This window comes from Homo sapiens, chromosome 7 (assembly GCF_000001405.40).
Source record: "Homo sapiens chromosome 7, GRCh38.p14 Primary Assembly".
In the NCBI taxonomy this organism is placed as follows: Eukaryota; Metazoa; Chordata; class Mammalia; order Primates; family Hominidae; genus Homo; species Homo sapiens.
In genome coordinates, this window is record NC_000007.14 from 157880377 (window position 1) to 157894773 (window position 14397).

General features: G+C 49.7%; 1 protein-coding gene across 10 annotated transcripts in view, besides 1 other annotated feature; it reads right to left on the minus strand.

Moving 5' to 3' along the window:
- The window catches only part of PTPRN2 (protein tyrosine phosphatase receptor type N2), a 1048768-nt gene that overhangs the window by 341321 nt on the left and 693050 nt on the right, over positions 1 to 14397 (minus strand). The window lies entirely within an intron of this gene.
- Positions 6593 to 7110: an enhancer, noted in NCBI's record as "H3K27ac-H3K4me1 hESC enhancer chr7:157679661-157680178 (GRCh37/hg19 assembly coordinates)". NCBI's record gives its function as "activates a minimal SCP1, AML or CMV promoter by ChIP-STARR-seq in naive H9 embryonic stem cells {active_cell/tissue: H9 hESC(naive)}" and the evidence as "EXISTENCE:reporter gene assay evidence [ECO:0000049][PMID:30033119]".

Consider the following 14397-nt stretch of genomic DNA (forward strand, 5'->3'; position numbering starts at 1 on the left):
TGCCAAAGAAGTAAAATTGCAACACAAGTTATATTGCTTCAACATCAAGAATTTTTTAGGGTCCCCGTGCTAGAGGGGGCACCGGCAGCTCCTGGGAGGTGTGAGTCTTGGTCATCATGTGGCGTTGGCAGAAGGAGGACCCTGTACATCCTCCCTGCAAAATCACCCAAGGGACCCGGCCCATAGGCAGATGCAGCCACGTCCTTCTCCAGCTCTGAGGGCAGGCAGGCCATCTCCACGCTGAGCATCGTTGACGGTGACACATTTGTACCATGTGGTAATTTTTACTTTATTGCTATGGCTGGATGGCTCAGACTGAACCGTGGATCTGAAGGGTTTTTGGACAAAACTATCCTATTATCCTTCTAAAAATCGCGCTAAATTTTATTCATGTATTTATTCATTAATTCACTCTCCCTGATTGCCTTGGTAGAATTTTTCACTTTTTAATTTATTGTTTGATATGGTGCAGGAAAATGGCATAGATGTATTCCTCTGAAGCTAGCTTGACCCAATGCTATCTTTTGGAACAAATGATAAAAAGGCACTCTGAGTTAAATGAGACACTAACAGGGTCAGAGTTTAGAGCTGAATTGAGTCTCTCCAAAGTGCCTATGGGAAGCTCTAATCCCAGAACTTCCGAATGTGACTGTATGTGGAGATGGAGTTGTCTATAGGAGTCATTACGGTAAAATGAGGTCATGAGGATATGTGGAGATGGGGGTGTTTACAGTAGTCATTATGATAAAATGAAGTCATGAGGGTATGTGGAGATGGAGGTGTTTACAGGAATCATTACGGTAAAATGAGGTCATGAGGGTATGTGGAGATGGGGGTGTTTACAGTAGTCATTATGGTAAAATGAGGTCATGATGGTATGTGGAGATGGGGGTGTTTACAGGAGTCATTACAGTAAAATGTGGTCATCAGGGTGAGCCTGATCCCATGTGACTGGCATCCTTGTAGGAAGGAGATGCAGACACAGGTGCACACAGAGGGGTGAGGACTTGAGGATGCAGAGACGGCATCTGAAGCCCAGGAGAGAGGCCTTGGGAGAGACCAGCCCTGCCCACACCTTGATCTTGGACTTCAGCCACCAGGATTGTGAGCAATAAAGGTTTGTGACTGAAGCCCCCCACTCTGCAGTATTCTGTTGTGGCAGCCAGAGAGGACGCACATGGTCAACATGGCAACACCCCCTCAGTACACCCTAGACATCTGAGGCCAAGCCCCTGTGACTGCAGGGATGCGTCTCTGCCTACGAGAAAGGAGAGGATTTCCTGTTTTCGTGGAACGTTAAGTCCAAGTGCTTGTCAACAGAAGAAAGTTACTTCTTAAGAATGTTCTTTTTGCTTTATGATCTCATTAAAAAAAAAAAAATAGATTGGCACTTCAGTAAAAGGGTTTGCACACACACAACCCTAATTAGACTTTTAATAGATCCTTTGTTTCACAGGAATGAAAGTGAAGGTAAAGTTTGTGCCTGTAAACTACTAAAGAGCTACTAGGGCCCAGTGTCTAGGGCCCTCCACCATCCATCAGTTTCTAATGTAGGAGATGAGAACACATCACCCCAAAAATGACTGTCATACATCAGAACATGCCACCCCAAAAACAACTGTCGAAGAACAGAACATGCTGCCCCAAAAATGACTGTCATACATCAGCACATGCCACCCCACAAACTACTGTTGAAGAACAGAACACACCACCCCAAAAATGACTGTCATACATCAGCACATGCCACCCCAAAAATGACTGTCGAAGAACAGAACATGCCACCCCAAAAATGACTGTCAAAGGCTAGAAAACACCACTCCAAAAATGACTATCAGAGACCAGATACACCACCCCAAAATGACTGTTGGAGAACAGAACACGCCACCCCAAAAATGACTGTCAGAGATCAGAACACACCACCCCAAAAATGACTATCAGAGATCAGAACACACCACCCCAAAAATGACTGTTGGAGAACAGAACATGCCATCCCAAACTTGACTATCAGAGACCAGAATACACCACCCTGAAATGACTGTCAGAGAACAGAACACATCACCCCAAAAATGACTGTCGGAGAACAGAACACACCACCCCCAAAATGACTGTCGGAGATCAGAACATACCACCCTAAAAATGACTGTCAAAGACCAGAACATGCCACCCCAAAAATGACTGTTGGAGAACAGAACACCTCACCCCAAAAATGACTGTCGAAGACCAGAACACACCACCGCAAAATGACTGTCAGAGACCAGAACACACCACCCCAAAAAGACTGTCAGAGAAAAGAACACACCACCCCAAAAATGACTGTCGGAGAACAGAATACACCACCCCAAAAAACTGTTGAAGAACAGAACACACCACCCCAAAATGACTGTCGGAGAACAGAACACACCACCCCAAAAATGACTATCAGAGACCAGAACACACCACCCCCCAAAATGACTGTCGGAGATAAAAACATGCCACCCCCAAAATGGCTGTTGGAGATCAGAACACACCACCCCAAAAATGATTGTTGGAGATCAGAACATACCACCCCAAAATTGACTGTTGGAGAACAGAACACACCACCCCAAAACGACTGTTGGAGAACAGAACATGCCACCCCAAAAATGACTGTCAGAGAACAGAACATGACACCACAAAAATGACTGTTGGAGATCAAAACACACCACCTCAAAATGACTGTTGTTGGAGACCAGAACACACCACCCCAAAATGACTGTCAGGACACCACCCCAAAATGACTGTCAGGGATCAGAACACACCACCCCAAAAATGACTGTCGGAGATCAAAACACATCACCCCAAAAATGACTGTTGGAGATCAGAACACATCACCCCAAAAATGACTGTCAGAGACCAGAACACACCACCCGAAAATGACTGTCAGAGAACAGAACACACCACCCCAAAATGATTGTTGGAGATCAGAACACACCACCCCAAAATGACTGTTGGAAACCAGAACACAACACCCCAAAAATGACTGTTGGAGAAGAGAACACACCACCCAAAAAATGATTGTCGGAGATCAGAACACACCACCCCAAAAATGACTGTTGGAGATCGGAATGCACCACCCCAAAAATGACTGTCAGAGACCAGAACACACCACCCCAAAAATGACTGTTGGAGATCAGAACACGTCACCCTAAAACCGACTGTCAGAGAACAGAACACACCACCCCAAAATGACTGTTGGAGACCAGAACACACCACCCCAAAATGACTGTTGGAGACCAGAACATGCCACCCCAAAATGACTGTCAGAAACCAGAACACAACACCCCAAAAATGACTGTCAGAGACCAGAACACACCACCCCAGAAAAGACTGTCGGAGATTGGAACACACCACCCCAAAAATGACTGTCAGAGATCGGAACGCACCACCCAAAAAATGACTGTCAGAGACTAGAACACACCACCCCAAAAATGACTGTCAGAGATCAGAACACATCACCCCAAAAACGACTGTCAGAAACTAGAACACACCACCCCAAAATGACTGTTGGAGATCAGAAAACACCACCCCAAAGTGACTGTTGGAGACCAGAACACGCCACCCCAAAATGACTGTCAGAAACCAGAACACATCACCCCAAAAATGACTGTTGGAGATCAGAACACACTACCCCAAAATGACTGTCGAAAACCAGAACATACCACCCCAAAATGCCTGTCAGAGACCAGAACATACCACCCCAAAATGCCTGTCAGAGACCAGAACATGCCACCCCAAAATGACTGTCAGAGAACAGAACATACCACCCCAAAATGACTGTCAGAGACCAGAACATACCATCCAAAAATGACTGTCAGAGACCAGAACATAGCACCCCAAAATGACTGTCAGAGACCAGAACACACCATCCTAATAAATGTATGCCTTTTTGGCATAAGGATTATTTTGAGAAACTGAAGATATAGGAGAAGCTCTGAAAACAAGTTGATTCTCTTCTATAAGAGAGATCTATGTTTATAAAGGAGTCCTCCATTTGTAAGGGTGGCTCCTCTCTGCACCTGGAAGAGGACGGCTCTCGTCACTGGAAACCCCATCAATGCAGAGGGCTCGACTGAGGGTGCATGACAGGCCTTGCCCTTGCTGACCGGCTTCTCTGGTCCCCTCCTGTGTTAATCTGTTCTCATGCTGCTGATAAATACATACGGGAGACTGGGCAATTTATGAAAGAAAGAGGTTTAATGGACTCACAGTTCCACGTGGTTTTGGGGAGGCCTCACAATCACAAGGCCTCACAAGGTCAGAGGCACATCTCACAGGGTGGCAGACAAGAGAGAGCATGTGCAGGGAAACTGCCCTTTATAAACCATCAGATCTCATGAGACTCATTGACTGTCACGAGAACAGCATGGGAAAGACCAGCCCCCATGATTCAATGACCTCCCACCAGTTCCCTCTCACGACATGTGGCAATTGTGGGAGTGACAATTCAAGATGAGATTTGGGTGGGGACACAGCCAAACCCTATCACCTCCTCATTGCTCCTCCTGCTCTGTCTCAGCAGATGATGGTGCTGAAGCCTGAGTCTACACACCTCTTTGTGATTGACCCGTTTCTCTGGGTATGGCTCATGGATGCAGGAGGTGCACATGTGAATCCACTTCGGCTTGTTTATCTCTTGTGAATCGGTTTTTTGTTACAGGAGTCCACCCCTCGTAGGAACTCAGAAGAACAGAGACACTACTTTTTCTTCCCCACACAGAGTAGTAGCTTGAGGCCACTGGCTCAAGCAAAAGGGGTACCTGAGTTGGCCTGGATGCTCAGTGGCTGCCCTGATAAGTGATTATGGAAAATGTGATGCCAGGGCGGTCTCAAGGCTGGAACGACAGCCCCCACCAGGGTGGGCTTGGCTCCATGTTCACTGTCTCGGGAGCAAGGCTGCCCTTACACCTGCAGCACGTTCCTCCACTCCACAGTGCCCAGGTGGGCCTGGGCTGGGGGCATTGGACACAATGCATCCTGGCAGCCACCCAGGCCTAGCCTCTCCAGGGCACCTGATGCCCACCTGGGCAGAGAAAGGCACCTGAGCAGAAGGGCATGGGGCTTTCAGAAGGAGGGTCCCTGAAGGGGATGCAGATGCACCCGCCTGACGCTGGAAACAAGCCAAGTTCCTCCTGCTGGCCCCAACAGGAGAGTTTCCCCTGACAGACACACCTCTGGGCTCTGCTCATCAGCGTCCATGTCCCTAGCTGGACAATTCCAGGGTTGAAAATTAGGGTTTCCCACCTGTATCTCATGAACTCTGCCAGGTAAAAGTTTCATATTCATGGAGTATACCAGGTGCGAATGTGCTATAGATGTAGCTAAGGACATTTCAGCTTTCAGGAATCTCCATGAGAAAAGGAACTTAATTTGATGTGGGGCTCAGTGTAGGGAGTGCGACCTGGCCTGAGTCAGGCTGCCTGGTGCTGGCACCGGCTGCCGGTTCTGCCATGTCACTTCTCCTGCCTCAGTCTCCCCTCTGTGAAATGTTGCCTCCTGGGGACAAGGGAGATGACATGCATGTGAAGTGTGGAACACACCCCGGGAGGGGGCGAGCATCACAACTGTTGCTGCCACTGTGCTGCTGCCGTTCTGAAAAAGCTGCAGCAGGAGCTTTCAGGGTGCAGGATCCTGTTAATTTTCTTCATCTCTTTAAGCAACTCCAAGTCTGATGGGTTGACCCACTGAAAGGGGTTTCTGGATTATTACACACTGAGGGACCTTATGAACATCCCTAGAGTTCAGTTGTTTAAATAAAAATGAACTTTGGTGCCACGTGAGCCAGGCTCCCTAGGGAACCTGCAGGGACAATCTTGCCTTCCACTAAGACCCAGGCACAAGGCGGGCCTCCGTTTCTTCAGCGGGAGACATCACCAAGTCCCCACCTCAGACAATAAGCCGTGTCCCTGCGACTGAAATCTATATTATGCATATTTTTATAAAAATGCAGCTGAAAATGTTAGAAAAGGGCACAGGGAGGGAGGGAAGCATGTCGAGAAGCAGGGACTGCCGTTGCCACAGGCAGACATGACTTATTTCATCTTATGTGACTATTTACTCTGATATTGAATAAAAATTGAATGTGTTGCTATAGCAACAGCCACATCACACAGCACCTCTCCTGCCTTTAAGTCACAGGAAAGTATTGAGAAGGCATCCGTGAGCCAGCGCAACGTGGAAACCTGTGTGCCATTCACAATTCCAGGAGGAAAAGATGTTGTTTCATGATGAACTCCTATTTGTCAATACGTCAAGTGCAGTTAATTATATCGAAAATACATTTTTGTGTTTTTCTTCACTTTTGAGAAATAGAAAAAGAGTGAGAAGAGCAGTAAGCAGCAAGCAGGCTGATGGGGTGCAGCTGAGCCCACCACAGTGGGGCTGCCCCAGGGCCACTGAAGTCCTTGTCACAGAGACAAACCCACAGCGGGTCTATCCTGGGGCCATCGAGGTCTTCGTCACAGAGCCAAGCCCACCACGGTGGGGCTGTCTGGGCCATCGAGGTCCTTGTCACAGATCCAAACCCACAGTGGGCCAGTCCTGGGGCCATCGAGGTCCTCGTCAGCTGAGCCCACCCATGACGGGCCTGTCCTGGGGCCTTCGAGGTCCTTGTCACACAGCCAAGCCCACAGCGGGCCTGTCCTGGGGCCATCGAAGTCCTCATCAGCTGAGCCCACCCATGACAGGCCTGTCCTGGGGCATTTGAGGTCCTCACCACAGAGCCAAACCAGAGAAGGGGCTGCTCCTGACCTCTGACCTCCCACCAACCAAAGGCTTATCTGGGGTCCTCAGATGGGCTGAATGCAGAGCTGCCTGGGCTGGGCTGATGCAAATATTTTAATGCAATTTCATGCAGATTTCCCTTTCAGACGCAAATTAGGAATATTTACCAGTAAACAGGCTTTTCTTAGGACTGAGGCACTTTTGCATTTAGGAGAAAACCATCTGTCAACTAATGCATATTAGAATAAAATAGAGTGACAGTGCAGGAAATGACAAAAGATGCCCACTCCCCCCAGTACCCACTTCCCCCAGTACCCACTCCCCCAGTACCCACTTCCTCCAGTACCCGCTCCCCCCATTACCTGCTGCTGCCAGTACCCACTCGTCAGTACCCACTCCCCCCAGTACCCGCTTCCCCCAGTACCCGCTCCCCCAGTACCTGCTCCCAGTACATGGTCCCCCAGTGCCCACTCCATTACCCACTCTCCCAGTACATGCTTCCCCCAGTACCCAACCCCCATACCCACTCCCCAGTACCCACTCCCCCAGTACCCACTTCCCCCAGTACCCGCTCCCCCAGTAACTGCTCCATTACCTACTCCCCCCAGTACCCACTCCCCACCATACCCACTCCCCCAGTGCCTGCTCCCCCAGTACCTGCTCCCCCAGTACTCGCTTCCCCAAGTACCCACTCCCCCAGTACCCGCTTCACCCAGTACCCGCTTCCCCAATACCTGCTCCACCCAGTATTTGCTCCCCCCAGTACCTGCTCTCCACCATACCCACTCCCCCCAGTACTGCCAGAGCCCACCACATGCACTGAGTGGGCAAGAGCCCACACAGGCACCACCGCCCCCTGCCTCCCACCCTTGGCAGAGCTTCCCATGTGCTCTTGGGCTTCTGGGGTGAGATGCCACAGGCTCCCTGAAACGCACGCTGTCTTGGGGGGTGTGAGTGAATGTTTCTGGAGAGACAGACCCTGGTTTTTCTTGGGCTCACGGACGGTCTGAGATTGCTGGAGTGTTACACCCCAGTCACTGCAGCCTGGTTCTTTAGGCTGAGCCGGCACTAGGGACAAGCCGTAGCATGAGATGTAGGGTTCAGTGGTCCCCCCAGGCTTCTATCCTTGGTGTGACCCAGCATTACCATCAAACGCACTGTTACCTTCGCAAGCTCAGCTCAGTCACCTTACCCAAGGAACCCCGTGAACTCTGACACCTCAGGCTTTTTAGATCCACTGTCCAGAGCCTCAGGAGCTGTGATCTCTTCCTTCAGATACTGCTGAACCCACCGCTTTCGCTCCATTCTGACAAACCTACCTCTGACCACGTGAGCTTCTCTTCCTCCTGGGAGCTGCTCCTCCAAGCTCCTGCTCCAGGGGCCCCGTCAGGAACGTGTGGCCGTGCTCTCTGCCCCACCAGCCCATCCTGCGCCCCCCCACCCCCCAACATCCAATGCCCCTTCTCTTGAATCCCCAAACACAGGCCCTCATCTAAAGGCCAGCAGTGATTTTAAACCTTTGTCATGTACTGGCCTACGCGCAGCACCATGCCACGCAGAATCTTCACGGATGTCTGATGACTTTCGTTACTGTGAGCGTTTCCCACAGCAACCACGGTCAATGGGTGACGGGGGCCGCCATGTCCCAGATGGTGGCTGCTCCCCTCAGGTCCCCACATTTGCTAATGTGTGTGTAAACGCCTTTCCTTTGGTTACATATTTTCTCTTTATTTAGGTTGTAAAAAATGGTACTAAAGGTAAAATGAGATAGAACTAGACACACACATTGTTCCAATATCAATCTCCTGGTTTTGCCATAATTGGCTTTTATAATTACCCAGACGTAACCACCAGGGGAAAACCTCACTGGGTAAGGGATACATGAGACTTCTTTGTTATAACTTTGCAATTCCCTGTGAATCTATAATGGTTTCAAAATAAGAAGTCAGAAATAATATAAAAACTTTTGGACAAAGGAAAAAACTCACTTGCAATTCCACTGAGAAAAATAAAGTCCAAAGCCCCAACTGACGGAATGACCTACTCTTGACCAAGAGGACCCCAGAGAAACCTTAAAACTGAGTTGGGACCGTGACAGGATGAAGGTCAGACCCGCCTGGTTACCCGCCCCCATCATTAATCATCACCAGGCTTCCTTCCCTGGGTTCAGACCCGCCTGGTTACCGCCCCCCTCTCAACTAATCACCACCAGGCTTCCTTCTCTGAGGGCTGAACAGAAACCAGCCCTTTTAAAAGACTCCATTCCTGATATCCACCAAGTGCCTGAAACTGCTCTTCCTTTTATGGTTTCGACCCAACAACCAATCAGCATTCCCTCCTCATAAGAGACCCCATTCACGGAGTGCCTCTGGCTAGTCTGTGGAGGCTGCACAGGGAGGGCCTTCATGTCCTCAGCTTCACCTTTTGATGCAGAATGCCTAACTGTAATCTGTTTACATGTTAAGTCTCCATGCCCCAGTGAACATGGGATGCATTTTGCAAACATTAGCTGACCATGCATGCCCGTGTCTCCCCTTCACAAATATTCACGGCTCCTCCCATAACCTGCTGAATATGTATACTTAGCCACCCACTCAGCATAAATTCCTGTTCCCTTTGCCTCTCACTAGAAGTGCCTGTTTCTGGCTTCTGGCCGGAGGCTACGCTTCCCAGCTGGTCAGGTTGGCTGTCCTGCAGGATGCAGCTCTTTATAAGGAATAAAGCTCTCCTTTCCCAATTACGAGCCTCGTCATTCTTCTGCTGCCACCATCAACCCCATAAGAGCTGCTCTCTTATTCACCTGTTACGTACATGGGCTTCTAACATCTCTGTGCACACACATGTTTACACAGCTGCCTTTAAGTTTAGAGTTCTCAAAATTTTAAATGAAATCACAGAATTTGATTTATTTGATTGTTAATGATGAGTTACCTTGCTATAGTTTTATATTTTAAGTCAGTTTTTTTTTTTTGGTGAAGGTTTTGTTTTTCTGATTTCCTTGCTCGATGGAGTGTCTTCTTAGGATACATTTCTCGGAGTTTGATTACTGAGCCAAAGGGGAAGAGTTTTTGTTTGTTGGTTTGCAGATGACCACTGCTGTCCTGCCTTCTAAAGAGTTAGACTCATTCACCCTGCCTACCATGGAGTGTACGTATATGAGTTTTATCACATTTGGTCTTTATTTATAAAACCAAAACTGTTGTTCTCAAGCAACCTTCAGTACTAATCTTAAAAATAAGACTTCAGGCTGGGCACGGTGGCTCAGGCTTGTAATCCCAGCACTTTGGGAGGCCAAGGCAGGCGGATCATGAGGTCAGGACATCAAAACCATCCTGGCTAACACGGTGAAACCCCGTCTCTACTAAAAATACAGAAAAATTAGCTGAACATGGTGGCAGAGGCCTGTAGTCCCAGCTACTCGGGAGGCTGAGGCAGGAGAATGGCGTGAACCTGGGAGGCAGAGCTTGCAGTGAGCTGAGATTGCGCCACTGCACTCCAGCCTGGGCGACAGAGCGAGACTGTGTCTCAAACAACAACAACAAAATAATAGGACTTTAGACTTAGGATGTGATTGGAACATCTACGGATTTCTCACCCCACTGTAGCTCTGACATTTCACCTGCCCCCAGCACCACAGGGCCTCCGGTCTCACACAAATCATTTTGGCTGGAGAGCCCTTTGCAAGTGGTCTGCTTGCCAGCTCTCCACCTCACCTGTTGGCATTTCCCAAATAGCATTTCTTCCAGCCAAGAGCCTCATCCATCCACCTGGATCCACCTGAAACATTTAATGTGCCTGACAAAGGCACGGTCCTGCTGCTGGGCACCGCAGAGCAACAACAGCTGTCACCCTGACAAGCAGGGGCAGCTCCTCCCCACCTCCCCACCTCCCCACCTCCTTACTCCGGCTCTCTTCACCTGTGGGCAAAGGCCCCCCTCTGTCCCGTCCTCTCCTGGGTCACACCTGGGTGTGCAGAACCAGGCATCTGGTGAGGCGGGCAGGAAATCTGCATCTTGACAAGACCCCAGGGAGAAGGTGCATGGCCATGTCGAGCCATCACAGCTGATATGTTCCTGCTATTGATTTGGCCAAAGTCTGCATTCAATGTCCAGGCTCCTCTTGGTAATCCCCAAGCAACCGGGTAGGAGCTGTGTACAGTAGCAAACCTCTTTGCACAGACAGGAAATGACAGGGTGGAAGTCAGGGGGAAATGAAGCTGGTTTCGAACACATCCGTCACCCATCTCAGTTCTGCCCACTGCTTGCTCCCTGTGACAAGTGCTGAGCATCCCCACACCCCCCGCCCCCCACCCCAGGTAACAAACATCACACAGCAAATTCACATTATTCATGGGGCGGATTCCCACAGCCCCCCACCCCCCATCCCAGGTAACACACACATCACACGGCAAATTCACATTATTCATGGGGTGGATTCTCACACCCCCACCCCCCATCCCAGGTAACACATATCATGGCAAATTCACATTTTTCATGGGGTGGATGCATGACCATAGGTTCATAGACTTTTAAGGGACTTTTGGGATCCACATATTCTTGGCTACAGAATCCTTTCTTGGAACAAAGTCTCACCCAGAAGCCCAGTGAGCAGCAGGCAACAGAAGCCTGGACCTTGCTGAGCCGGAGTGTGAGGGTAGCGTGAGCTGAGCAGGGATTCACACCCAACTGCCTTGGAGCCCCCAGGGCTCCTTGAATAACCATCTGAAGACCTCTGACCTCATCCCACACTGGACAGAGAGAAGGCTCCCTCAGCAGAGATGGGGGGCTCTTTGCCACCCAGACAGCCCCCAGTCTGAGCAGCTCTTCCCCTCAGCTTCTTCTCAGATTCCTCTTGTTCACGCTCCTGAGCCTGCAGGGGCTCTGCTGAGACTCAGGGTCGGCCACTTCTCACTGACATGCTGGGCAGGGCACCTCTGTGTCTATCACGACGCTTAGAAGCTAGAACGCTGGGCAGGGGACCTCTGTGTCTATCACGACGCTTAGAAGCTAGAACGCTGGGCAGGGGACCTCTGTGTCTATCACGATGCTTAGAAGCTAGAACGCTGGGCAGGGGACCTCTCTGCTCTATCATGATGCTAAGAAGCTAGAACGCACCCCTAACTCTGGACACAACTGAGAAGGTTGGAGCCATGGATCTGCCTTTATCCAAATTATTTTTCTTCCAAACTTTTGAGTTTTGCTTTTTGGTGATTATCACTTTCCTTTGGAAAAAAACATGGCTTTATTAATTTGAATAAAATGCAAATACTTTTCAAGATATCAGAAATTAGATTTTGAAATACATCAAAATGCCACCCATCTATGAGGGGTGTGTATCTGCACTGTAATCTGTTCATTTCCTTTAAATTTTGTTTTGAGATATTTCCATTTGGCTTAAAAGGTTTTAATTCCACTATCTGTCATCACTTGCATTAAACGCAAGCGCAGGGGAGAGATTTAGTAAATGCTATTAGATTTCTGTAATCAAACTCTGCTTTATATTCCAGAGTCAGGGATTAGAAGAATTTTAAATACATTAAAAATCAGAATCGTCAAATTCAGGCTTAATACTGAATAAGGCAATTAAAATTAGAAAAAAAAATCATTAGCTGTTAAATAATTTATCAACTTGTACCCCTTTCTCCCATTTTCACCACTGCAAATCTACTCCAAATATATAAACCTCCCGAAACTACAGCAGTGAATAAAACAGACAAACCCTTCCATCACAGAGCTCCCATTCCAGGTGAAGCTGGAGATGCATCCAGGAATAAGGCCCATTGTTTCCTCTGAAGGCAGAACCCAGCCGTCACCTGCATTGCTTTCTGCACTCACTTGGGGCAACAGGAGACACAGATGCTGGGCTTGAGGGCCCTCTGGGCACGATGTCCGTGGGGTCAAGAGCTCGAGAAGAACCATCTTTTGAAATGTAAAATGGCCACGTGGAGAAGGATAATGCTCCAGGAGCTGGTCTCCAGCATTTGGTGGAACGAGAACAAAGAAATGTCTGGAGAAGGCCAGGAAGACAGGCAGGTCAGGGTGAATGAGCTCCTTGTGGCCAGATCGTAACCAGTGGGTGAAATAAACACTCTAGCGTTTGGTAATTTTCTGTCCCAGGGATGACGGAGCCTCTGCCCCTGGGAATGGCAAGGTCCATCCTCTGCTCGCTCAGGGGCCAGAGAGGACACAGGTTGGATGTGGATGGAAGCAGAGGTGTGGTGCTGTGCAGGTGAGCTCCTGCCTCTGCCCTCAGCCCCCACGGTCCCCCGCAGTCTAGGGAGAACCTTCCTTCCCACATATGAGATGGGTGGGCATCAGGAGTGGGCAGAGGCCAATTCTTTCCAGAGTTAAATAGTCCACTTCACAGATAATCTGAGCAGCAATTCAGATTTCCATGCATTGAATCAATCTACTTCCTAGACAGAGCTTCACAAGGAGCAGTGATGCCATTTCCATTAAGAGATAAGAAAACCTGACGGGAGAAACAGGCTGCGGCAGGAAGATCAAGAGCCCTGCGTGGCCCACTTTAAGTGTGAGGCTCCTCTACAGATCTCCCAGGAGAGAAAAGGAGGACACCTGTGGCCATACACACCTGTTGCTCGGTGAATGGGTCAGGGCTGGAGACGTAGGCTTGGGATCATCATCGAACAGATAACATAAAAAGCCAGGGCCCAGGTGAGTTCCCCACAGGAGACAGCACCGGCAGAAAGGAGGAGGGAGCCAGGCCCTGGAGAGTCCAATCTGTAGAACTCACGGAGGAGGAGCTGGTCGACTTGAAGGGAACAGAGATGGCCGTCGCGCCCAGTGAGAGCAGAAAGCAATGCAGGGGACGGCTGGGTTCTGCCTTCAGAGGAAACAATGGGCCTTATTCCTCGATACACCTCCAGCTTCACCTGGAATGGGAGCTCGTGATGGAAGGGTTTGTCTGTTTTAGTCACTGCTGTAGTTTCAGTTCTTAAAACCTGCCTGACGCATATAAATACCTAGGAATGAATGAACGAACAGCTCACTAAACTGAGGCTGAGCAGGGACCCTCGCACACGCACATCGAAATCCCGCATGACGCATGGCATCAACTCTGAGGGGCACAAAGCCGAGAGCACAGGAAGAAAGTGGATCTCCAGACTCCAAAACTGAGAGGAGCAATCAAAACCGGGCGTGACTGGGAGCTGCTGCTGAAGTGGCTCCTGGACGTTTGGCATCTTTCTGTGGATCCAAGTGTGTGGAAGCTGAGAGCTGGGGTGTGAGTTCCTGTGGAAGCTGAGAGCTGGGGTGTGAGTTCCTGTGGAAGCTGAGAGCTGGGGTGTGAGTTCCTGTGGAAGCTGAGAGCTGGGGTGTGAGTTCCTGTGGACGCTGAGAGCTGGGGTGTGAGTTCCTGTGGACGCTGAGAGCTGGGGTGTGAGTTCCTGTGGAAGCTGAGAGCTGGGGTGTGAGTTCCTGTGGAAGCTGAGAGCTGGGGTGTGAGTTCCTGTGGAAGCTGAGAGCTGGGGTGTGAGTTCCTGTGGAAGCTGAGAGCTGGGGTGTGAGTTCCTGTGGAAGCTGAGAGCTGGGGTGTGAGTTCCTATAGTCACACGAGGACAGCCCATGTGGCCTTGGGGTGGATGGAGATGGGGACTCCACATGAAGCCCAGGACCTTGAGGACCTGCCTCCCTCAAGATT